Source organism: Homo sapiens, chromosome 7, assembly GCF_000001405.40.
Source record: "Homo sapiens chromosome 7, GRCh38.p14 Primary Assembly".
Classification (NCBI taxonomy): domain Eukaryota; kingdom Metazoa; phylum Chordata; class Mammalia; order Primates; family Hominidae; genus Homo; species Homo sapiens.
In genome coordinates this window covers 51,065,544-51,091,869 of record NC_000007.14, presented here as the reverse complement: position 1 = coordinate 51,091,869, position 26,326 = coordinate 51,065,544, and the positions used below count along the sequence as shown (strand labels likewise).

The 26,326-nt window shown below is 42.6% G+C and overlaps 1 protein-coding gene across 23 annotated transcripts in view; it reads left to right on the top strand.

Moving 5' to 3' along the window:
• COBL (cordon-bleu WH2 repeat protein) overlaps positions 1-26,326 on the top strand; it is a 300,598-nt gene that overhangs the window by 224,940 nt on the left and 49,332 nt on the right. For 12 of the 23 annotated variants that reach the window (NM_001346441.2, NM_001287436.3, XM_005271751.1 and 9 more), the window contains 2 exons: positions 6,566-6,704; positions 8,642-8,812. In NM_001346441.2, the coding sequence (NP_001333370.1) occupies positions 6,566-6,704; positions 8,642-8,812 (310 nt within the window). Of the gene's footprint in view, positions 1-6,565; positions 6,705-8,641; positions 8,813-18,484; positions 21,043-26,326 lie in introns of those variants that run through there. The other 11 variants (NM_001346443.2, NM_001346442.2, NM_015198.5 and 8 more) reach the window with 2 other exon arrangements.

Genomic DNA, 26,326 nt, shown 5'->3' with positions numbered 1-26,326 from the left:
TCATTCCACCCTCTTCTGGCTTGCAAAGTTTTTACTGAGAAACCTACTGATAATATTATAAGACTCCCTTGAAAGTGATGAATCAATTTCTCTTGCTGTTTTCAAGTTTCTTTCTTTGTCTTTGACTATTGATAGCTTGATTTTAATGAATTGTGGTATGGTCCTCTTTGGGTTTATTCTAGTTGGAGTCCTTTGAGCTTTTAAAATTTTGTATGTCTATTTCCTTCCTCCAATTTGGAGAATTGTCAGACATTACTTCTCCAGATCAACTCTCTGCCCCTTTCTCTCTTCTCCTTCTCTGATCCCCATAATGCATATTTTCATCCCCTTGGCATTGTCCCATAAAGTCCTTAAGGCTGTGTTCAATTTTTGAATTTTTTTTTATTCCTTTACTCAATAATTTCAACTGACCTGTCTTTTAGTTCACTGATTATTTCTTCTTCTTCTTAATACAGCCTGCTGTTGAACTCCTCCAGTGAACTTTTTAGTTCGGTTATTTTATTTTTCAGCTTCAGAACTTCTGTTTTTTATAGTTTCTGTCTCTTTATTGATATGATTCTATTCATGCATAGTTTTGCTGATTTTGTTTAGCTGTCTTTCTGAGTATTCTCTTGTAGTGCACTGAACTTTAATTTTTTTGTCTTTTCTGGCCATAGATTTCCATTTATTGTTATTTCTCTCTAGATGTTTATTTTGTTCCTTTAATTGGGCCATGTTTCCCTGTTTCTTCATGTACCTTGTTATTTTTTAATGTAATTTGTGCATTTGACAAAATAGCCACCTCTTCCAGCCTTTACGGACTGGCTTCTTACAGTGTAATAACATGTCAGTCAGCTCAGCTAGAGATTCTTGGGGCCTCTCAACCCTTTTCTGGATATCCATCTTCCCTGGGCTTGTTGGTGTATTTTCCAATTAGAAGGTTTGCTGATTTCTTCTTTATGAGCTTGTAATCTCGTGCTCTCTCTTGCATCTGTCTATGGTACTGCAGATTTTCTGGCACTGCGGCCAGCTTCTGAGCTCTCTTATTTTCTAAAGCCTTCAGTCATCCATAGTATTTCAGTTTTGTCTGTATTCCTGGTCAACTGAGACAGAAATCAGTCCCTGAACAAGCCTCCCCACAAATCCAGAACATTGCATGTACTTTTTACTCATTTCCTCCCGAGGGATAAGCAGTGAGCTGGGTGCTTTCTCTTGATTGCACTGAGCTGTGCTGGCCTTTGCCTGTGGCACTGGCAGATCTCTGCTGTTGCAACCAGCCTCTGAGCTCCTTTTTTCTCAGTAGCTCCCAGGCATTCAAAGTGTGCCAGTTTCCCATCAGTGCTCCCAGTCAGTCGAGACATAAACTAGTCCCTCAGGCAGCCCCCCTGAAAAGCTGGAATGTTAGATGTACATTCCATTCTTCTCTTTTCTTCCCAAGGGAAAAGCCATGAATTGGGCTTTTCTCCTGCAGACACTGAGCGATACTGGGTTAGGGGAAGGGCTGTCACAGTTGAGGTGAAATGGCTTTTCTTACCCATTTCAGCATGGCCATTCTTGGCATTAAGCTTGCCTATGGTCCTGTGCCTTCTTAACTGGTTTCTGGAGTTCTCATAAAAGCTTCTGGATTACAAATTGCTGTTAAGTTGATGTCTTTGTGGGGAAACTGAGGTGCGGGGCTTCCTTTTCTGCTATCTAGTCAACATCACTTCTTCATGACAAGGAGTCTTAAAATTGAGATAGCAATTTTAGGATCTTGTCTCTTCACTGAATTTTATGTGTTGTATACCTGAGGAGTTTTAGTAAATGGATTTATTGAAAACTCGAAAAATAAAGAGAGAAAAAGAAATGTGAGGAAAAGATAAAATTACAGAGTGTTTTAAGAAGTTTAATTTGTTATTGCCAAAACCAAATAATTTTAATATTTAGCTAAAGGCAATAGGGGCTAATTTAGTTAATTATGGCTCATCAATTCTGTGGAGTACTAGGCAGCCATTAAAAAATAGTTGAAATTCTGCTAAGAGGGTTGATTTTAAGTGTTTTTACCACAAAGGAAAAAAAAAAAGATAAATGGTAATGATGTGAACTGATAGATATGTTAATTAGCTTGCTTGTGATTATTTCACTATAGATATGTATATCAGATCATCAGTTGTATACCATACACACACACAATGTTTACTTGTTTGTTCCTCAGTAAAGCTGAAAAATTACAGGAAAATATATGGCTAACAAAACAAATCTATGTCTCTCCCTCTGAAACTCCACTAAAAAAAAGTATTACTTCACTGTGACAAAGACGAGAGAAGCAATGGCCACTGATGACAGTTTTCAGTAGACACTTTGGGGACTACAGTGTTTTGTTTTTTGTTTTTTTTTAAGACGGAGTCTTGCCCTGTTGCCCAGGCTGGAGTGCACTGGCATGATCTCGGCTCACTGCAACCTCCATCTCCCAGGTTCAAATTATCCTCCCGCCTCAGCTTCCCGAGTAGCTGGGCTTATAGGTGCCCGCCACCACGCCTGGCTAATTTTTATATATTCAGTAGAGACAAGGTTTTGCCATGTTGACCAGGCTGGTCTCAAAACTCCTCACCTCAAGTAATCCACCCGCCTCAGCCTCCCAAAGTGCTGGGATTACAGGCATGAGTCACTGTGCCCAGCCTGCGGTGTATTTAGATTGTGATAAATACCTAGTAAAGCAGAAGAAGCTGAAACTTGACTGCTGGGTGAAAGAGGCCCAGCAGAAGACGCCAGATCCTAGGACACTCAGGAATTTGGGGCACATGTTTGTTTGCACATGACCGTGGAACGAGCTGATGATGAAGGAATGGCTGAATGCCTGCATGTGAAACAGTAAGATCTCCATACCCCTGCCTGCCCACCACAACCAGATGTCTGCACTGCCACCCCCTGCAGTGGCAGAACTAAGAGGCTCTGACTTCAGGACATCAGGCACAACCAAGTCTGCACCGACACAGGGATAAGCGAAAACCCACATGCCACAGGAGAGCTTCAAGGCCCTCTCACCAGAGTACTCGGGAAGGCCTAGTTTCCCTCAGGCAGGAGCTGGGCTTCCCCTGTGCAGAAGATGGCCGAGCTAGCAGACAATCCTGCAGGTATGAATATCTGGGGATCTCTCAGCTACTGCATTTCTGCCCAGATCCCCACTGGGAATCCCATTACTGTGTGAACAGACTCTAGACACAGAAACATACATATTATAAACAATCAGTCATGAATTTGAGGAAGACTCAAAATATGATAAGCAGAGGCCAAGACAGAGAGCAGAAAGGATGCTGGAGGAAAGTGCGATGCATATGGCTGAAGAAAATGGAAATTAAAATGTGGTCTTGAAAAAGATATAAAGCATAAAGCATAGCTTCTGAGAGGAAAGAGAAGCTATGGTATCCAGGAAACAAGACCATGATGCTATTTTTAAAATACATAACAAGAAGGGGCTCTTGGAAATTAAAAACAAAAAACAAAAAAAAAACAGTAACTAATTTAAAAATTCATGAGTCTTACAATGGAGAAAATTTCCAAGAGGGGGGGAAATCAGAAAAAATTTAGGCAAGAGTACTCAAGAAAAAAATAGACAATTGAATTAGAATCCTCAGTGTTGAATTAATTGAAATCCCAGAGAGAAAGAAACAGAGGAAAGAAAAAGTTGAAAAGAATAACACTAAAAAATTCTGCAGAATTAAGGATATTCAGATTGCAGGGGTCAGTGAATGCCCCAGACAATGAATGAAAAGAGCCCCACCCAGCACTTGCCATCATGAAACTTCCCAGCAGGAAGGACTCAGAAGCCCCTGAGCCTGCAGAGGAAAAGCAGATACTATGCAGAAGATTGAGCCCCACTCTGGATCCGGGTGTCTCAGCTGAACAGTTCCAAACTAGGAGACAGTGGAGTAATGGCTTAGCATTTTGAGGGACAATTCTTTTCATCCTAGGTTCCTGTAGGCATCTATACTGACTGTCCAGTATAGTAGAATAAAAACATTCTTACATTTTGAAGGTCTCAAAAATCTTCCTCATACGCATCTTGTGTCAGAAAGTTGCTGGAAACTGGGAACCACTAAGATGCAGAGAATTAAAAAAAAAAAAAAAAAAAAGGCGGGGCCGGGCACAGTGGCTCATACCTGTAATCCCAGCAATTCGGGAGGCCGAGGCGGGTGCATCACTGGAGCCCAGGAGTTCAAGACCAGTCTGGCCAACATGGCAAAACCCCATCTCCACTGAAAATACAAAAATTAGCCCGGCGTGGTGGCAGTGCCTGTAGTCCCAGCTACTCAGGAGGCTGAGGCAGGAGAATCACTGGAACCCGAGATCGCGCCACTGCACTTCAGCCTGGGCGACAGAGTGAGACTCTGTCTCAAAAAAAACAAGCAACAACAACAACCAAAAAAACCCCACACAAAACAGGTGGAATATCCATAAGGATCAGAACTGAATAGAGGGAATGGGAATTTCCAGGAAATGCAATTAAAGAAAAAAGCTAGAAAACAAATCAGTTATCAGGTTCAGGGAAAACAAAAAGGTAATTTAGAAATTGTAATTATGATATACATTATACATCTCAGGAGGAGAAAATTCCTGCTGAAGAAAACTTATATTTTTCATAATTTTGATATCTACTATAACTAAATATATATAACTAAATAGTAAATATTAATTTAAATCTTTTGCTATAATTTTTTGGAAAATGGAGAGGAAAAGTATGAGTCTGTGCGTGTGTGTGTGTGTGTATGTCTCTGTGTGTGTGTGTGTGTGTTTGTGTGTATGTGTGTGTCTTAAAGAACCAAATCCTCATCTTCTGGAGTAGATGCCAATACCTAACATGGAAAAATCAAGAAACAGTACAATAAGCTTCTTATTTAGAAAAACGGAATAAATGCCAAAAAAAAAATGTGAAATGCTTACTGCTGGAGAGGGGGTGGTGGACAATAAATTGCTGGTTTTGACTCATCTTTATGGGGTTATTTACTTTCTGTTATGTCCATGTTTTATGTAAAATATATTACAGAATTTTAGAGGTATAGGAGGTGGTTATAATATACTATAACAGAAGGAAAGAAAAAAATATTTTTAGAAGAAAAAATAGTCTAGAAAAACATGCCAATTGTTAGTAGTTTGAGTATTAATAAAGTGATTATGTTCTTCCTTTTACATATATTTTTTAACTTTTTTGCAATAAATGTGTACTGCTGATAAAAATTAAAAGGAGACTTTTTACACACACACACTCTCTCTCTCTCTCTCTCCCTCTCATTGTCTCTCTCCCCCTTTCTCTCTCCCATATACGTGGTACACATGGTGCAAGCATGAGTTAATAAACCAGAGAGCACCAAGGTCAGAGTTGAAGTGGCAGAGGCAGGGTGTTGCAGGCACCATTCCTATGATGAGCCCTTGGAAGGCCAGGAAGTACTTGGACTGGAGGTACAGACTTGGCTCTGAGCTACTAGAGAGCAGGACAGCTCTTGTCATATGATAGTCACCATGTTCATTCTTTTTTTTTTTTTTTTTTTTTTTTTTCTGAGACACAGTCTTGCTACATCACCCAGGCTGGAGTGCAGTGGCGTGATCTCGGCTCACTGCAACCTCCACCTCCTGGGTTCAAGCGATTCTCCTGCCTCAGCCTCCTGAGTAGCTGAGACTACAAGTGTCCACCACCATGCCTGGCCCATTCTTTGCACATACTCTGCACTGCTCTATACACAATGTTCTTTAATCAATGAATTTTAATCAATGAGAGTGAACGAATAAAAACTTTCGCCCTAATGAGGAGGAGAGGAGAGTAGGATTATGTAGTCCTTCAGAAACAAAGAAATGGAATCAGTGAATTCAATTTTACAGACAAAACAGATTTCACATTCAGCAATTAGACCTGCCCAGTATTCATGAGCTGCCTTTAGAAGCTGTGTGTCTTTCACTGTTGAAAGCTGTGAGCAGGAGCTGGATTTCTGCTGTGGTTGGGGGCTAATGTCCCATACACCGATCTAATAACCCATATACTAAGAAACTTCATTGCGATTCTGGATCAAGATGTGTCCACCTGTGGACCATTAGATAGTCTTGGCTGCAGCTGCTCTGGAACGTGAACATGCAGTCAGGGAAACAAACCTAAGTCAGAGCAGGGTGAGGTCTGAGCTGCCCCCATCAGCTCTTCCTCTGTGTGATCACAATTCACGGCAGCCCATCCTGTTCCAGAAGGAATTGTTCTCCTTACATTTAATGAAGGACTATGGGTCTCATTCTCTTGTGTGACAGGGAAGTTTACCAACTCTCCAGACTTGCCTGGAGTCCCTAGAAAATATGAGCTCCCTGCTCATAGGGGTCTTTGGGGTGTCTATGAGCAACACTGTGCCACCTCCAGGCCACTCCTTGGACATCCGCTGGTCTCTCGCCTCATGGCCTCCCCTGCCTGTGTGGGAGGACCTGGAAAGGGAACTGGCCATCTAACAACCCTCCTGGAGCACCACCTTCCGGTGCAGGTCCCTGCCCCAGCACAATCACCCTAATACTGCCTTCTTTGTACTTCATAGGTACAAAGTACTTTGATTGTACTTTCCTTCTTTGTACTTCATAGGTATCTCTTGGGTCACAGATTGATTTACAGAAGAAGAAGCGGCGAGCGCCAGCTCCCCCTCCACCACAGCCACCACCACCGAGTCCCCTGATCCCCAACCGCACTGAGGATAAGGAGGAGAACAGGAAGAGCACGATGGGTGAGTGAGGCTCGGCCTGCCGTCTGCATGCGGGGATGCTTGCTCTGTCCTGGAATGTCAGCTCTGATGTGAACTCCTGCAGTGGCCTCATCCATAATGACATTAACCCAAAAAATATTAATGCTAAAGAAAGAAGGGCTGGAAAGAAATAATTGCAAGTTCACTTCATATCTTACTAGCAGTATTTGGTGGGCATTATGTGAGCATTTAGGAGGCGGGGGACGGTGGAAGGGGAGAAACGGCTGCAGGAGCCGGGAGAGGGTGAAAATGGAAAGCCTGTGAGTGTGAGTGTGCGACGTGTGTCTCTGATGGCAAAAGGAGAAGTTCCTAGGGTGACATCGTGGAAACTGCTTTGAAGGACATTTGGCATTTCAAAGAGATCTTAGGCCACAGGTGATGTATAGACAAGTTGACATCAGCTCAGTAATTTTTGGACCATCCTGTTTGAAATTGATCTCCACTTATATTACCTGGTACACATTTAGCAAAGACCCTGATTTTCTTTGAGGGAAAGAGAGCCCAGAGGAAAGAAGATGGAATTATACTATCTGTGAGCAGAAAGAGACCTATTAGATCATCATAGCCCACCCCTCGTGCTACAGGCGAGGTGGAGAGAAGCTGAATGATGGCGCTGTCCAGGTCCAGGGGAGTCAAGGGTTCATTTTCTTTTTAAATCATTCAGCATTTGTTATTTCACTTATGTTGGAACAGAAATGGCTCTTCCATGGAGTGGTTGGAAAATGGCAGCCTAGGAGTCACACCTTCCTGAGCTGAGAGCCCCAAGAATGGCGTGTGTCAGTGCTCACGACGAAGCCACCAGCACTCACAGGCCACTCACCATGCCCTTTAACCCACCCAGGCAGCCCCGCGTTTTGCCTTTGCCCTAAGGTCTGCAGCTGCAGGAGGGAAAGTCCTTCTGAGATAAGTGGCTGCCTTGGCAGTTTCTGGACCTTTAGTGAGAGCTCCGTGGCAGTTTGTCAGCGTCTTTCCCCTTAGTCAGTTCCTCGCTTTTAATGTGTTAGCATTTCAGCCTGGGAGTCAGTTACCTTAAGAAGCAATAACCTGTATTCCATGTCAGCTCATCCTCTTTCCCAAAGGACTGAAAGAAAACATTATCAGTGGATCATTAAAATAAACCTGGTTTTCTCCTGTTTCGTGAAGAGCCCCCCATTCTCCCTTCCAAGCTCTCTCCCCATTTTTCATAAATGGACAAAAGCCCCTGGTTTAAATTTTAAGTGGCATCCACTGTAAATGGCTGTATGTGGTTGGATCGTGCCAATCCCTAGGCCAGTCACTTCAACCCAGGGCAGGACCCCCTGATTCCGCCCTGGAGGCCTGAGTCCTTGTGTCCCATGTGCTTGGGACAACATCCCCACCCTCTCTACAACTCAGGACATTCTTCAAAACAAACTTGGAGAACTATTATTCTAAACAACCAAAGGGGTTGAAAAGTATAAATGGACTCAGGAGATAAGCTAAATGAATGCTTAATCTAGCCAGAATAGGTCAGTGGCTCTAGAAAAGCAACAAGAGTAGGCTAAAAACAGATCTGTGAACCTGAAAAAGACTAACATTAATAAAAGGAGTTCCTTTAAACTTGACAAAGCTCTGTCGAGGGTGTTGAAGAATAGTTTTCAAGCCCAGCATTTATGTAGTTGTGTCTGTTAAAAAGAAATTGCAACCAGGCACATCTTTCCAAACTGCTCCAATGATAGAACACTACGTATGTAAAATGTTAAAGTGTGAGTGTGGTTGGATGTGGTTGGTGCCAGATGAGAATGGATTAGGTGCTGGATATGACTGGATCTGGTGTTAGGTGTGGCTGGATCTGGTGTTGAGTGTGGCTGGATCTGGTGCCCAGTGAGGTTGGATTTGGTGCCTAGTGAGTGACGGCTTGGTTTAACCTGCTGAAGTAACTCCCTGTTGATTCCATATAGGTGGTGGACGGCAGGTGCCACAAAAGCCTCCCAGAGGCACTGCTCGGGGTCCACCCCAGTTAGTGCTTCCCCCACCCCCGCCCTACCCTCCTCCCGACACAGACGTGGTGGAGCCTCTCAGCTTTCCCGGGGAAGGCGCTGGTTCCGAGGCCTCAGACCCGATACCCAAACGTATGTTCCTCTTGCTTCATTCCGACTGTGTTAACTGTTCATCTCTCTGAGCACTGCGATGTCAGGGCTGGGTTTCCAGATTTTCCATTCTTGTCTTTGGATGTGTGTGCCTTTCCTTCTCAGCTCTTGTTTCCCAATGCTGAATGCAGTGTGTCTGATTTCACAGAGAACACACTCTGGAGAATTTAACCAGGTAATCATGCCTATCTGTGGTCAGACTTCAGCTAAACACACACCTTGTGGTTGTAGAGATGTCAGCTAGGAGCCAGTGTTCTCATATTAGAATGAACCTCAGAGTGTCTGTAGAGAGAGACAGCTGTCCGGCACAGCCGTCGTGTGATCTGGATGGTGGGCTAACTCAGGCAGGCTGTGGGCACACCTGTAGAGATCGCACTCAAGAGCTGGGAGGACGTCCTTCGTAAGTTAGCTGTGGAACTCTGTCGCCAGCGGCCAAGCATGAGCACTGCTTCTCTATGGAAAAGGAAACTGAGGTGTACGAGAAGGGGAAGCAGCTCACTTTGAGTGTACTAATAAGCCAGAATTGAAGTCCTGCTTTGCTTCTGTTTCCTGGCACACCCTGTTTGAGATGGGGCTCTCTTTGTTTCCTGGGGTTCTTTTGGACTTTAGTAAGTAGAGATAGCATTCCCACCTCCGGACAGGCATAGTTTTATACACTTACTCTCTACACTCCATGGCATTATGGGCACGTCGGGCCTGCGCTTGGACCGCTTCAGTATGTCTCAGCTGGGCGGCGACACTTCTGATAAAGCAAGTGCCATCCTGGGCTGTGTACACGGAGCAGCGCAATATCACTGTGCATGCGGCCAGGAGCCCTGCTGGTGCCCACATGAGTGTGCACAGCCCTCTAGTTAGGAAGTTCATACTTTTCTGCCACTGGACTGCTTTATCTTTTTCTGTCTTCTTTGGAAGTGTTGACTAGCTGCCTGCCAGCTTCTGGGTAAAGAAGATAATTGTTGGATTACTTATTGACTTTCTCTAGGCAAAATAATCCTGATTCATTTTATCTTTCTTCACAAGTACTTCTTTTCCACCCTTAAAATACATTTGATCATCTTGACATTAGACATGCTTCCGAATGCAAATGAATTTTTTAGGGCATTCAAAAAGGAAGGGTTAGGCTTATCAATCAGAAAGACTGCAGCCGTGGCGTGGATGGCTCCAGAGCCATTTCATCTCTGAAGACAGTGGGTTTTAAGCCCCACACACCAAGGCCATGAGAGTCGGTGCTCTCTCCTGTGGCCGCTGTGCTCACCTACAGAATTTCCTTCCTGCAGGAAAAAGTGAGGGAAAGATAGCTGGATGAAAGCTATAAAGCCAAGTACAGCCTGTTGGCAGTCACAGAACGGGCCCAGCACCAGTGGCTCTGTGGCAGCCTGCACAGGATGGGAGAGCTGGGTGCAAACTTGCAGACCCTCGCTTTCTCCTGGGCTCCCTGTGTGTTGGGGGCACTCACTGTTCAGGTGCAGCATCTGCTGGGGCAACGGGCAGACAAGATGTGGGAGGGGTACTTACCAAGGCAGCATCAGGCTTCCTCCTGCATCTCTGCAGAGCAGTGGAACCTCCCCACCTGCTGCCCTTAGACCTTTGGACAGGTCTGAGCCGGAAGGAGAGCGAAGTGGCGGAGAGAAAACCAGACTCACCTTCGTCTTGCCTTGTGGCTCCATTTCCTCCTTGTGCCCTCTTGCCAACTCCATACCAGTTCATTCCCCCAGGTACAGGCACCTGGGACTTCCTTTGCCCTCAGCGTCATAATTCACCTTCTCCCTCTCTTCCCCTCTCATGCCCACAGCAATGGAGTTGGGGGAAGAGGAGGTTGGGATGGGGAGGCCCCAGGAGGTGTTAGATGGAGTGCACTGATTTCAACTCCACCTCCCCTTCAGACCAGGCAAGCGCCTTGCCCTTCTTGGGACTCAGAGTCTCCCCTCCCTCTCCTGCCCCGCTCCTGCCCCGCGCTCCTGGCTGCCAGCGCACCACATGTTCAAGCATCTCGGAGCTTTTATGTTGCTAATTAGCAGAACCAGCCTGCCCATTGTTTATGGCTTTACAAACTAGGATTCCCCGCCTAAGCAGGCAGAATGCAACTTGCCTTCAGGACTTAAAAAAGTTAAGGAAAATGAATCTTTTCATTTGTTGTATCGTTTTTCATAATGTTGAAATCTGGGTGCTCCTTCCACCCATCCCCAGTGAGGCACAGGCTGTTGGCGCCTGAGTGCTGGGTGTGAATGTGCGTCCCTGTGGCCCATGTTCACCCCTGGGCTCCTGAGCAAACTTCCGGCTATTTTTGGCTGTGTGGAAGCTCAGTGGAGACATTTTAATGCCAGCTACAAGCACTTGCCTATCTCCTCTTGAGTTCAGTTTTAAAACTATGTTCCTCACATAACAAACGCTGTGTTTATAGGGGAGCTTACCCTGAGTACATATGAGGCCCAGCCGGTCCACCAGGCATCTCACAGAAGCTCTCTCACTGCTTCGTAGGGTATGCACAGACACCATGGGGAAACCGAGGCAGGAGGCCTTACCACCATAAGCGGTACAGAGGGGTTTCTCTTTATGGGATCTCGGACTCTCAATCTTTGCTTCATCCATCACCCTGCACTTCTCTTCTGCCACTGCAGGAACTCCCAGGGGACACTGTGGCTTTCACATCCATTGTGATTGCTACAGCAGATGGTATACTCCACTTAGGTTGTTAAAAAGGAGAAATACACTTTTTTGAAAACCAGTGTCCACTAACCTAAATAAGATTAAAAGATTCAAAAAGCTAATGGATAATGGATTTGTGCGCAGATTTAAGAGGGTGAGGAGAAGACATAAATAAGTCCTATACAACTTCACCCTTTATTTTATCTCTTCAACTCTGAGCCATTCTGTTCCAGCCATTCCCCTGTCTCCTCCCTGACCTCTGTAAGGTCTTGACCCACTCATAGGCCTGATGGCTTTGCTGGGGTCCCAGTAGGCCTACTGCCAGCCTCCCTTCCACAGCCAGCCTCCTGCCAGCCTGCCTGGAACTCAGCCCAAGCACAAAGCCCTCACTCCAATTTTGATGCTGAAACTGTTATTAGTACTTGATATTTGGTCATGAAAACCACATTTACCTGGAACAAAGGCCAAATGGAGAAAACTGTGTGCTCAGATGTTCAGTGCCATGTATATGTGGGGCTTCTGAACTCTTTTGAACAAATACATGGTTTGTATCAAGAGTTCAGAAGAGGTGGAGCAACCACCTTCCCCGGGTGTATGTGGCTCTAAGAGGCCACCTCTCGGCAGCCGGCTCTGCAGCTCACCCAGCCCATGTGCAGATTGCTCTGAGCTGCGTGCCTGCTCAAGCCACAGCTGCACAGGGCAAGTTCTCTGTGCACACCCTGTGGCCACCTCAGGTGCCTGTCTCTGGCAAGCCTCTCACTCCCTCCAGTGGGAATTCCTCCCACTGCCCTCTAGGCATTTATCCTTTACTGTACTCACTATACCATATTACACACACCTGTTATGTGCCTCCTCTACTAGTTTAAGCTATTAATACTTGGAGGCTTAACTGTTTTATTCATATTTATATCCGTCCTTCAGATAGGTGCCTGACACATAGCATAAATTTAATAAAGAAATATACCAGAATTTATCTCACCATGTGAATTACAAGTATCAAATTATAGTGGAATGTGCTATTCTATTCAGCTTCATTAAACATGTTTTCCAGGCTAAAGAGCATCTAGTACCCAGCATTTTAGGTCTGTCTGTAGGACATCCCTCAAGAGTCAACAGTGCATCAAAGACCTGTTGCAGTTATACTTGAGAAAGATGTGAAAATCTCCGTGGATTTCAGCATCCAGCCTTGGCACCTTCTCGAGTGGTTTCTTGGTCTGGCCTTGCTGCTGGATGCCTTCAGTTGTGTGTTGGCCTCTCTGAAGTGGCTCTCAGTGATCCCCACCTCCTGTGTTCACCCCCTAGCCTCTTGTAGCCTCTTGCCACGAATGCTGACTGTACTTAGTGACTCCTATCTAAGGAATAGAATATGGCAAAGGTAGTGGGATGTCACTTCTTACATCCAAGATTAGGGTTGAAAAGGACTGTGGTCTCCATCTTGGGCACCCTCGCTCACTTGCTCACTCTGAGGAAAGCCAGCCACCACGCTGTGAGCTGCTCTACGGAGACCCACATGGCAAGGAGCTGAGGGAGACTTCAGCCAACTGCCAGCGAGGCGCTGAGGCCCTTTGTCCACTGATCATGAGCCTAGAAACCTGCCAACAGCCACTTGAGTGAAGTTGGGGGCAGATCCTTCCCCAGTAGAGCCTACAGATGAGACCATAGTCCTGATCCACACCTGCACTGTAGCCTGGTGAGAGGCCATGAGTCAGAGGCACCCAGCAAAGCCATGCTTAGATTCTAGACTCACAGAAACTATGGAATAGTCAATGCTTACTGTTTTAAGCCTCTACATTTTAGGATAATTTGTTCTGCAGCAATAGATAACTAAAACAAGTTTCAAGTAAGTGAAACCCATCTCAAACCTACTTCAACAGTTAGGGAATGTCTTATCTCATGGAACAGGAATCCCAGAGTGGAGTAGCATTCAGTATTAGTTGAATCTGAAGCCCAAGTTGTCATCAAGGATCTTAGTTCTTCCTAATTCTTCTCTGTATCATCTTTGGGGTCAGCTTCCCCCTAAGGCTGGGAGCAATGGGTCTGTGGCTGTTCCATGTATCATATCCAGACACTAGAATTTTCATAAGAGGAAGAGAGACTATCTCTTTTAATAGTTTTGTAGGAGAAAGGAAACCTTTCCCAGAAAGCCCCCACTAAAGAGTTCCTCTCATATTTCATTGACTACAATTGAGTAATACACTGACCCAATTCTTTGGCAAGAATGGAATGACCTTAGATGAGCCAGGCCCATCTGGCAGACGGGGATGGGGTCAGCTTTCTCTGAGGTACGTGGAAGTCACTGGTCAATACTGGAGTTCTGTTAACTTGGAAGTATGGGCAACATATGCTATGTGAACAGCCAGCAGTGCGCACTACACATGGGTTGCAGCCTTCAGTTTGATTTTAGTCTGGAGCATGTAGGATGTGTGATGAGTAGGTACAGAGAGGATGGTGAATCACTGTTGAAGAGCAAGTGGGTGATTTGGCTCAAAAACAGTAAGGCCAAGCATCTGAAAGTCAAAAGTCACCAAGGAACCATCCTCCTTGAGGGACGATTTCAGTGCAGAACTGGCCACTTCAAATCTAGCCTCCACCTACACTTCTCATTTTCTGCTTTTCTGGAGCAGAGGAACTATTAGAAATGCTCCTAGCAGTAGAATATGCCTATTCAGCGTTCAGGAACTAAAGCATCTGCTTTCTTGATAGTCTTTGTAGTAAGAGGTGTGTTCATCACATGAATCTGAAGAATACTGGATCTCACTTAAAATTACTTCCTGCTGTAGAAAGCATAATCTTGTCTCTTCCAGAGTTAGTTTACAGTGGACAAAGTGCAGCCTTTTTAAAGGCAACATAGGGCAAGTGTGAAGGTGTGTGTGGCCAAAGAACAAACTCGTGCTCCCTGCTGTCACCTTGTATAGAACTGAGATTTCTGTTGCCTGATCCAGGCTGTCCATGTCTTCCTGGCTGTCATGGTCAGGACAACTTGCAGAGTCTGAGTTGATAAATATCACACATATAGGAGAAGGGCTACTAAGCTATGTAACCTCTCAAAGCTGCATGTCACAAAGGGCATCACTAGTAGGGTTTTGGTGTGTGTTTGATGTTTCCCAGCATGGTTTTAAGAACAATGGAAGACTGGCTCCCAGGTCTGTGGTCTTTAATCATGTTTTTTCTTATTAATAAGATTTTGCATTAAACTTCAGATATCTAATCATGTACACAGATGCTTTATGTGCATGTCTAAACCAATACAGTTGTGTGCATACGGATTTTTCATCATAACTTTCGAATCAGCTTGCTTTCTGCCGCCATTTGATTTCAGTTGAACCTTCATTGTGAATCACCATAATGGAGCCTATTCCCTTAGTGCATTGAATTGTTTATTTACAAGATTTGCAGTGCTGATTATAATTAGGTTATTAACAAGTTATGAATTATCTATTTTAATTAGCAGACCTTGGAGATTTAAAGATCAATGCATATGGAGCTCAAATTACAGATCCTCAATTTACTTTACATTTTTAAAATGAAAATATTCAGTGACTGTCATTTTCTTACACATTTTTCTACACCAGGCTTAAGCAAATAAATCTTTCCTTGGGCATACATTTACAGGGTAATTGACAAAAGATCAAAAGGCATAAAGGGAAGATAGGTCATTGTCTCCTGTTCTAAGCAACCCCCCCCAACAAGGGATACTATTTCTAGCTAATTGATTTTAAATTTGTGACCAAGTATCCAATTCTAAAGAACTTTAAGGAAATTCTAAAACAAGGAAATAAAATGAGAGGAATGAACTATCTATTTTGAATTAGAAGAGAGTATCTTGAGTTTGATCAATGCAGAAATAATAATAATAATGATTTACATTTTAAGCAAGTGATCGAGCAGAGGAACTGCGAATTGCGAATCTAGAAATACTTGTGGCACAGCTTGAAATATTTGGTGGCTACAATCCTATCTCTACACTTGGGGACCAGATGCTCACTAAGGGCTGCTGGCTCGGTGAACAGCCATGTGCTGCTTGAGCAGAGGGCGTGGAACTGGAGAAGGTAGGACGGGAATTTGGCTGATGGCCCTTAGGTTGGGACCAGTCCTCATTAGAGTCCCCTAATGCCTTATTCTCAAATTTGAGCCCAAACTAAGTACTTTTCCTATTTCAAAACGAAGCAGTTAGTTCTAAAGCTTGTGACACAAACACAGTTCTGTGAGTCCTGTTTGTTGTGGGAAACACCCATGAAACACTACAGGTGTGGAGCTCAGAGCAAGCCCTGGGAAGCATTCTTGCCCTTGGCTGGTGTTTATTTGCCACTTTCCTTCCCTGGCAGGAGAGCCAGCCACACAGCTGTTCCTGCTGCCACGGGGCAGGCATGGCATCCAGGAAAACAGGAAGTGGGTCGTGAGCAAATGGGCCTTTTCATAAAATGGAAGGAAATCGTCAACTGTGGGAGCAGAATCTGTCCCTACTCAAAAGTACATTAGAAAAAAACGGAACTGAACTTTTAACCTGTTACTATTGTACCTTGAAAACCATTAAGTCAACCCAACATAGACTGAAGATTGGATGTAGCTTAGAAGTGAAGTAGTGAGAATCAAAATAGATCTATATATAGCTTTTCAAAAAAACCTTATGAGCCTATTTCTTTTTGCTAATTACTTCTTAGTCTTTTATTTACAAGGTACAATGTCCCTAACTTGAGAGAATTAAAGAACTTAGTGACAACTCAGTGGAACAGAACAGCACTTTGCCAGCTCATAAAAGCAGATCGTTAAAATTTCAGGAATTTTGCAAACCAATGGCTGAACAGATCCACTATTAAAAAGTAAATTATATAGACATACAATTAAATAAATAATATTAAAAACAGAGGTAACAAATACTAAAAACTCATCACTTCCTAATTATTTTAGTACATTTCATTACTATTTCAGTGTTCTTGAGGTTGTTTACATGTATCGGATCTGTAGGATTTAATGCTTTAGAATAGTAAAAATATATCATAGTGTGCTACTACACATCTCTTCACAGCACCGCATTCAGTGACTGATGTCAATAGCAGGAAATCAACCATCAAGAAACTATTTATAGCATAGGAATTAGCAAATGTTACAAATCAGATATTGATTGGTCTTGTTAATTGTCTAGATATAAGACAGTGATTGGGAAATGTAATAATACAGATTAAATAGAAAAGTATGTCATATCTGTAGCCAATACATTGTGAATAGCAGAAAAAATTGAGTTGTACATCCATTTTCCAAAAACCATGATCAATTCAGCCAAGTCATTCATGGGATTGACAAATGAGTAAAATTCCAACATATATCTTTCTGGTTTTATTCTCATCTTACTGTCTGATGCCATCATGTTGAAGTTATACTTCTTTGTTAACGGTAATAATTGACTGGCTACAGGTTAAAGAATCTGGGAAAAATTAATGAAAGCATTCTATGAGAATCAACTGGTAATACAGAATTTACAAAAAATAGTATTATGCATTTTATTATTACTTATAAATTTTGTGCTACTTATCCTTTATATAAGTAAAACTGATTATAACTATTTATACCTTTTTCCTCCAAAGAGCTGGTTACTAACCATTTACCAAAATACCACTGCAAAGTAGTAACAAATATGAATAGAAATGGTGAAAAGAAGTAATATTATTTAGTTAAGAAACCTGAGAACAGATTTCTTTGATTTTCATGAGTGCTCAAGCCCTAAGCTGATGCAAATAATCACAACTGTATTTTGTTTCCTTGAGCTTTAACTAGTAGCATGTACTCAGGTTACGTATAAAAACCATGTTGAAGAACTTCTCTTTGGGTTTATATAAATTTGAGTCCTTCCCAGAAATAAGGCATAAACATCTTGATTTTTCAACAATGGTTTGAAGTTGTTATTAAATATCATTACCTTCACGCCTGTAATCCCAGCACTTTGGGAGGCTGAGGCGGGTGGATCACGAGGTCAGGAGATCGAGACCATCCTGGCCAATATAGTGAAACCCCATCTCTACTAAAAATACAAAAATTAGCCAGGCATGGCGGTGCATGCCTATAATCCCAGCTACTCTGGAGGCAAAGGCAGGAGAATCCCTTGAATCAGGGAGTTGGAGGTTGCAGTGAGCCGAGATCGCGCCACAGCACTCTAGCCTGGCAACAGAGCGAGACTCTGTCTCAAAAAAAAAAAAAAAAAAAAAAATCATTACCTTGTTTTACTAGTTAAGAAGTAAATAGAGATTATGAATCAGGCATTCTCTTATGACAATAGTCTTCTAAACTGTTTGTCTCAGGAGGTTTTGGGTGCTGATGTGCACTCAGGCATGGCCCTTCTTTATTTTAATCCCTTTCCCCCAAGGCCTTCAGAGATTTAAAGCTACTCTCATGTAATAGCCCTTTGCACCACAGGTCAGTCTCCCACTAGAGAAAACAGCAGCACTCAAGAGGAGTTTGCTCCACAGGTACTTGGAGTTGATATCCATCTCCAACTCAGTAAATCAACCAGTATTCTCTAAGTTTATATGTGGGGCCTGCCCAGTGTCACCATTATCAAGATGGGATACACTGAAATTGAGGGCATCACAAAGCCATATGGTCTGTTTTCCTCTGGAGTTCTACAAGTAACTTAGACTGTTTTTCAAGAGGTAAGAAATAAATGACTTGCCTACCAGCTGCTTCGTGTCTCGGCTTGTAAGGACCTTAGGTTTCATACCAAATCCAAATAATTTTATGTGGCAACCTGAAAGACCAACCATGAGGGAAGTGATGCTTATGATATGGTTCTTACAGGAGGCAGAATCATATCTGTTGGATCAATAGGCCCTTTCCACAGCTGGCATACAAAAAGACTAAATGGAAAGGAAGAAAACAATAACAATATGCTTTGGCTGATAGAACGCTTGCTATGCAGTGTTAAATCTCCAGGGGCTGGAAAATGAATGATAATGGCAGATATTTATTTCACCGCAAGTGTGCGTTCACATTTTGCCATTTATTTTCCCCCCGCAGTTTATTGCTGTGCGTCATTCCCTACTCAGGCCAAGCGCTTCTGATGGACGGGCCTCTTCCTGACCTCGGACCTTTCCCAGTGTCTCTTCTGCCCTGGCTCTGATTTTCCTGTTGTTCTTCCTCCTTTCAGGATAAAAGGGCTCATTGTATACCCAGAATTTACTTCCTTTGGGGTTTACATATAAATGCATTAATAACAGAGATTTGTTTGATTGAGGTTTATATTTTTTTGAAGGAGGTAAATTATATGCAAATTTTAGGTTGATAATATTCACCTGTCTGAAATTCACTGATACTTGGAAATGTTCCTGTGAAGAACTCTGCTTTATTTTAATTCATTATTAATTCATGTTTTTCTTATTGGATATTCAGTTCCAGAATTTATTGCCAATTTTTCTTAAAACTAGATTGTATCCATAAATTGACCAGTATAGTCAATTTGGATAGAACTGAAACTTTCTGTCTACCTGGTAAAACTAAGTGCCTAAAAACATGAACTATAAATGTAGTTACTAGGAACTCACAACTTATATATACTATCCATTCAATGATACATAGGACCCAATGTCTTTGTGTTTTTGAGGTTTTCCTGTTACTGTGTACTTTGCCATTTTACATAGTTCACTAAAAAGAAAGAAGTGGGAGAAGAAGGGTGTTCTATTCATTATTCTATATTATGATTCTCTTCATTATTCTGTTCTCTTCATTATTCTATTCATTTCTTCACCCATTTATTCACTAAACAGTGACATAGTACTTACTTGATGCTAGGTATTACACCAGTTTTGTGGGCTATAAGAGTGAATAACAAGCACGTGACCTCTGGCCTTGGATTTTACTACCTGTGGCTCCCCAGGCACATGAAAAGAAGTAAAGATGGTTCCATTTGATAAGTACTAGTCACAAGGGTTGTACATGTGATAAAGATGCCAGAGGTTGTGACCACCATGTCTGTGCAGAGGTGCTGCTGGCTCCTCTTTGAGTGTGAGATCCCTCTGCAGTCACACAACCTCACCCAGTTACGAAGAGCTAGTCACCTCAACTGCATTGTCCCAAGACAGGCAGAGTAGGTAAAAATAGTCATATGTTAAAATTCAAGGTTTAGATAAAAAGACAACTAGTTCTTGCTTGCTTTGATTAACTTTTATTATGCAGATGCATTTGAACTGGAGAAGCTTGTCATGTTTCTCTCTAAAAGATGTTTTTAAATGTTATTGCTCAAAATGGAAAAAAAAAAAAAGAATCAGTAAGTATTCCTGACATGTAGGATTGTTGCCTGGCTGATCACAATGAAAATGTTAGCTATGACTAATGAAGGAATTATCACAACTTACATTGGTATTAATAATAAACAAATATAAGCCAAAGCTATATATAACCAATTTAGTGCTATGTATTGGTGAAAAAAACAGAAAGTTACAGAAATTACTCACAATGAAACATAGAACAAGTTAGAAAGGGCCTTTTTTTTTTTTGAAATAAAGGACTTTTGTCTGATAAGTAGCAGTCATTTGACCTCAAATCATTAAATGGGGAAAGTCTAAACAAGAAAAGGTAATGTTTACCTGAATGTTGGGGAAAGCATTAGGATTTATGGCCCAGACTTAAAGATTGTAGAAGATTGTATATAATTACAGCAATAAGCATTTGTGTAAGAAGTAGCTATTATGCTGAAGAAAGATGGGCACACAAAATCTCTAGGCAAATCCTTGGAACAGGGGAAAGTGATACTGCTCATAGAATTATTGGTTCGAGAGGCAGCAAATATGATGCAATAAGTATATCAAACTCAATTAAAAATAGAGGACAGAGGTATGTGGTGGGGGAAAACAAATGCAATAGGGCTAAGTCAGCTTACAGGGGGTGAATATAATTTGAACATGGCACCCCCAATTTACTTGATCATAAAGTTAGCCAAAGACATGAGTGGTCGATCTTTGACAATACTCTAGTGATCTCCATGAGAGATGGCCTGATAGATGTTGGATAGAATGAAGGGCCATTTGATGAACAAGTTTTGTAGATTTACATGTGACTTGGCACTGTGCTGACATTAGAGCCTTCTAAGAATCAGATAAATTAATTAGGTGAAACATTTTTTCCCAAAGCACTTGCATTTCAGAAAGTTTCTCATTTCTGACTCAGCTTAGAACCCATCCCTTGTTACAGGTCATTTCTCCTCCTTATAAGCCATGTCTGTTTCTTTTTTCCATCATGTCATACACCCTATCCACAAAAGATGGTAGCTCACGTTTTCTAACTAGAGACGTGCAGGCAAGTTGAGAGCATGAAGAATCCCTTGGGAATACCAATTCTGTAGCAAATGCTAAGGTAAAAGAAAAACTATGCATTATTTTTCAACTATAGTTGGCTTAAATTCTTAGTTTCACCCTGGAGACCATGTTGCCAGTGGACAATTGAGCATGCTGTGATTTATAAAATGCAAGCTAGTTTATATGATAATGTTTGCCATCTCACTTTACCAGTACTGTTGACCTTTTCATATGATTCTAAAATCACTTACTTGTAAATAAATACTCCTAGTTCTGTAGATGAAACAATTTGGAAAAGTCGTTACTGTTTACTCACTGACATTTTATTTTAGCACCCATTATAATCAGTCACACATCGCATCTGTGTTTGTGATGCTTATCAACTGTTAATTTTCACAGTTTTCATGCTAATTTGGATCCATAAAATGATACAGTTTGTTCACAACTTCCATAGCTCATGTAATGTAATTCAAAACGTTTCCACGTGCAGACTAACATTTCCCATAACAAAACAAACTTTTCTACCATAGGGATAAGAGTGCATCTTCCAAAAATTACAAGAGAAAGTGAGGGCCTTTCAAACAAGTATTCAAGATGTCTTGAGTCATCATAACCAATTACAGATTATCCAGACCCAGAAATTAATCCACATACAGAGCACTTGCTTCCTCTGGCTTCTCGGAATTTTGTGTGTGTGTGTGTGTGTGTGTGTGTGTGTGTTTTAACTGTTTCATCCTTCATACCCAAGGAATGTGGAGCAGGAGAAAAACCCAAAATAGCTTTTGCACCTTATTAGTCACCATGGTAAAATGACAACAAGCAAACTTCAAACACTTCAGTGAAGACAGAGGTTCAAGTATTAAATAAAATGAGGCTCAGGAGTTATCTGTATATTTTTGGTTTCTTTGCTTTATTTGTCACCAATAGCAACGCATAATTGGTAACCCTTTTGCCGAATAACTCCCTTTGCTGGAAGTTTTGTGATTTAAATTTACTGTTACTTCTGTGTTGATTTTACCCTTAAAGGCTTTATGTTATAACCCTTCTTTTTCCTTCTTATTAAGAAAATAACAAACTTTTATTACGTGAACGAAGCTGCATAAAATAAGGCTCTGAGTATATTTTTCAGTAAAGGGAAAAAGAAACCCCCCCAAAAGAGATTAGATCTATTGAGATTATTTAGACTGGACACACTGTTTCCTGGTTGATAAATCTGCTACAGGGCTTCAGGGCAGGAAGTGAGGAGAAAAAATAACCAAAACATAAAACCCAAACGCAAATGGAATAGTCAGTATCTATCATACTTTCTTCTTTGGCCCATAAGGGACAAGATTTAAAGAGTGGATGCATCCTTTCCTTGTATGTTTTGTGTGAATAAGAAGTGGTAGGGAGGAATATAAAGACATCCTGAATCACACAAATCATCAACCACAGGATGGAAATGGATGGCAGATTGCCATGTCTAGCCCACACACACATCCTCTCTGCCAGGTAAAGTTGCCAATATTAAAAGTCAGATTTGGCTTGAAATTCTGGTTCTTCCTGGAATGTGTAAAGAGCCTTCCCAAAGGGCTCACATCCTTCAAGTAAGCCTTGAGCATAGCTTGGCAGCAGGTGCTCCCTGAGCACAGGCCGGCACTTGCCATGCACTGCGGAGCCCACCAATCCCACAGCTAACACCCAGGCTAAGAATCCAGTATTTTCAGGCTCATGTTTTTCCAAAAAGAAATTTAAAGGGAAAGTGATTATGTCCTATAGTCAGGAGCCTGAGAGGACCAGAGAGGCAGATGCAGCACAAACTTACAGAGTTGCTGTTCCAACAAGAGAAGTGTAGTTGGTGGTGGAAGTAAGCATATTTGTATCTCTGGCCTGTTTCTGCCTCATCCCTGCGCCCTTCGCTTGGCCCTTCTCTCTCAATCATTTCTCTCTCCTACCTGGTCTCTCATATGGGCAAACCCCGAATCTGCACCCACAGTGGTGTATTGGCAGAGCTGTGCAGGGAATGCCCCAGAAGGCAAATTACCTTTCATGTCTGCTGGCTCCATTCTGCCCCTTTACATTGTCATTGTCATATTAGTGAGGATTGGGTGCGATCAGGCCGAGGGCAACGTTTTGATGAGCTGGAACTGTCACTCACTGCACAAGTGGCCTACATTTGGAGTCTTCAGGCTCCATAGCAGAAACCTTAGATGTGAAGAGTGAGTTACTTAAGTTCAATAAATATAAAATAATAGTAAATGGTTATAAATTGAGACGTTTAGCTTCTAGTAGGAAAACTACAAGTCTCCATTTAATATTGCAAAGTGAAGTGTAGGAAGAACATTGATGGGGATTTCTGGGTTTTATGCTATTTTTTATATTTCACAGCTTTATAGGAGTGTAATTGACACACAAAAAACTGCATATGTACAAAGAAAGTATATAATATAATCAGTTTCGACTCTTGTATACACCATGAAACCATCACTCACCATCGAGTAATAAACATCCATCACCCTCAAGTTTCCTTGCATCCCTTAGTCATCATTTTTAATCTGCGTATGTGTATGTATATGTGTATATGTACATAAGACATGCACACAACTATATATATTACTTTATGACAGTACTGTACATCGAATGGGAAAGTTAGCAAAATATAGGTTTTAATAACAAATCCTAAATTAATTGAGAAGTAAAACTTCATTCTAGCTAATTGGGAAATTGTTTAAAAGGAGAACATTAAGTGTTAAAATTGATGACCCTAATGATAAAGCGAGTATTTGATCTGAGGAGAAAGAAAGCTGGTCGCAGCATTTTAATAGTCATCTGAATGCATCCTTTGTGAAGTGAAAATGTGGGGATGTGAGTGCACATACAACCTTTGGAACTATTTCTCCCCTATCCAAGTTTTCAAGAGGAAACAAAGGTAATTTCTCCACTTAATTTTCTTCTGCTAAAGAAGCATGAGTGTGTTCTTTAAACCATGTTTACCAAAAGTAGCTGAGAGGAGGTCAGCCCACCGCCTCTGCCGCTCAAGCCTGGCTTGAGAACCGCTGACCAGGATTGCTGGCTCTAGTCAGGAGCCCAGCTGCCAGGCTGGGGCTAGGCAGCGGCAGGCACCAGGGCAGCATCTGTCTTGGGCTCCACTGCAGTGGCCAGCTGCCCACTGACCCTCACTCCGTCTCTGCCAGGTTAGCAAGCAGTCGAAGGGGCTGCTTATTTAAGAGACAAGAGATTCTTGGATGACTTTACCCGCACATTTCAGCCACCAGGGGGAACCCTGATTATCCCATTGATAGACAGAGTTGAAGAGAATGGAAAGAAACATACAAGAAGTTAACATTGGGGCTTTGCTGCATTTATGCCAATATTATGTTGCAGCTAGTCACACAACAATTTAGTGACTGTAATTATAGGATTGAGTTCTCTCATTTACAAAGAGGGGAAAGTGAGTCAAGAAGAGTCTAGTAACTTGCCTAAGATCATGCAGCTAAGAAGGGTCTGTGCTCAGATGGCTGACTCCCCATCCTCTGTTACAGTGTGACTAGTGGTTCTAAAAAGGGATGTGTGTGTATGTGTATACATGCACACATACATGTGCATACATGCATGTGCACCCATGGTGCATGCATATCTAGACTCATGTACATGTGCATAGATGTATATACAGTGCATGTATGCATACCCACACAATACATGTGCACATTGTGTATCTTAAACATCTATGCATACATACACAAGTGTGTACAAAATATTTGTGTATATATACACATGCATACATATATGCCTACACATGGTGTACATATTCATGTTTGTATATATTCATGCATACATGCACATCTATATACATTTGTAACTTGTGTGCAAATATACATAACACGTGCGTGCACTCATACATCCATGTGTATACACTGTGTGTGTGTGCCTGCACGTGTGTGAAGATATGAGGCCAAGGACAGTATGTGGCTATATTAGCTTGTTGCTGCCAGTATGCTTCCCCACCCCCACGCCACCCCACACACAATATATCTCTGAGCCTGGTGCTTCGGTCACTGGCAGGCTTTGCAAGGATTCTGAACTTGTCCACTTTGGCCTCCCAGAAGTTATTGTCAGGCCTCTTGTTTGGTGCCTAATTTATGACTTGGAAGAGATTTAAAGATTAAAGAGAATATGGCCAGTTAGTTGTTTAAATGAATAGTCTTCCATAGTTAGATAGGGCAGAAATCCAAATCAACCATGTTAGTAAACTCAAACCTCATCTTTCGTCTCTGCCCTTGCACTTATGTCTGCCTCCATCTGGCTATTTATTAGCCAGGAGGCACCTTGCCATGAAGGAGGTGGCCTCTGCTTGAGTGCAGACTGCACAGTGGGACTACAGGAAGGTACAGCCCATGGAGGGGTGGGGGTCTTAGTCTTCATAGATTCGCTGCCAGCGGGGTCGGGGCAGGAAGTGATGATGGCTAAAGTGGCACCCCCTTCCCATGCACTTTTCCTGGAGTAACCCTTAAATCTATACCACAGCCCTATGAGGTCACTGCTGTTGTTATCATCCTCATTTTACAAATAAGAAAACAGCACGTAGATGATAAGAAACTTGTCTGCAACCAAAAGCAAGTTAATATTTAAGCCAGGACTTGAACCTTGCCAGTCTGGTCCCAAGCACCTGCTTAACTTCCATATCCCTCCTCCCTACTCTGTGTCCTGTTAGTCTGTAGGGAGGGCTACAAGGCTCTAACCCTGCTCATATCTCCCCAGGAAGCCATTCCCTGTGTCCACAGAGGAAGGAGAAAGTGGAGGAGGTGGTGCGTGCTGTTTGAGCTTTATGGGAGGATCTCTCATGTGCAAGCCCACCTAAGCCCACAGCCAACAACAAGTATGGGGCTGCACAAAAATACCAGGAAGGAGGGGCTTGACTCCAGAGGAAGGAAGATCAGAGGACACCACAGAGACTGAGACAGTCACCATGTGTGGGCCTGTCAAGCCACAGACACTGTCGTGGACTTCAATTACTTTAATATTTTCATCACAGTGCGCAGCAACACAGTGCACTGATATGTTAGTCTGCTAGGGCTGCCATGATATCATACCACAGAATGGGTGGAAATTTATTCTCTCACTGTCCTGGAGGCTGGAAGTCCGAGATCAAAGTGTCGGCAGGGTTGGTTTCTCCTGAGGCCTCTTTCCTTGGCTTGCAGATGGCTGCCTTATCCCTGGGTCTTCCCTTGTTGTGTGTCTGTGTCCTAACATTCTCTTATAAGGACACCAGTCCTGTTGGATGAGGCCTCCACCCGAATGGCTTCATTTTAACTTAAACATCGTTTAAAAGACCTTATCCTAATAATGTTACATTCTGAAGTACTGGAGGTTCCGACTTCAACATATAAATTTTTAGGGAACACAGTTCAGCCCATAGCACCTGGTGTGCATTAGCCTGTGTGCTGATGACGACAGAGGCTGGAGAGCTTCTGTTGTACCCAGGTGGATGCACAGGGGAGACCCGGACTCTGACTCCAGGGCTTGGCCCTGTTGGAGGCCTGGGCCCTGCCACCTTTCTGGCAAGCTGTGCTGATTTTGCCCAAAGCTGGCT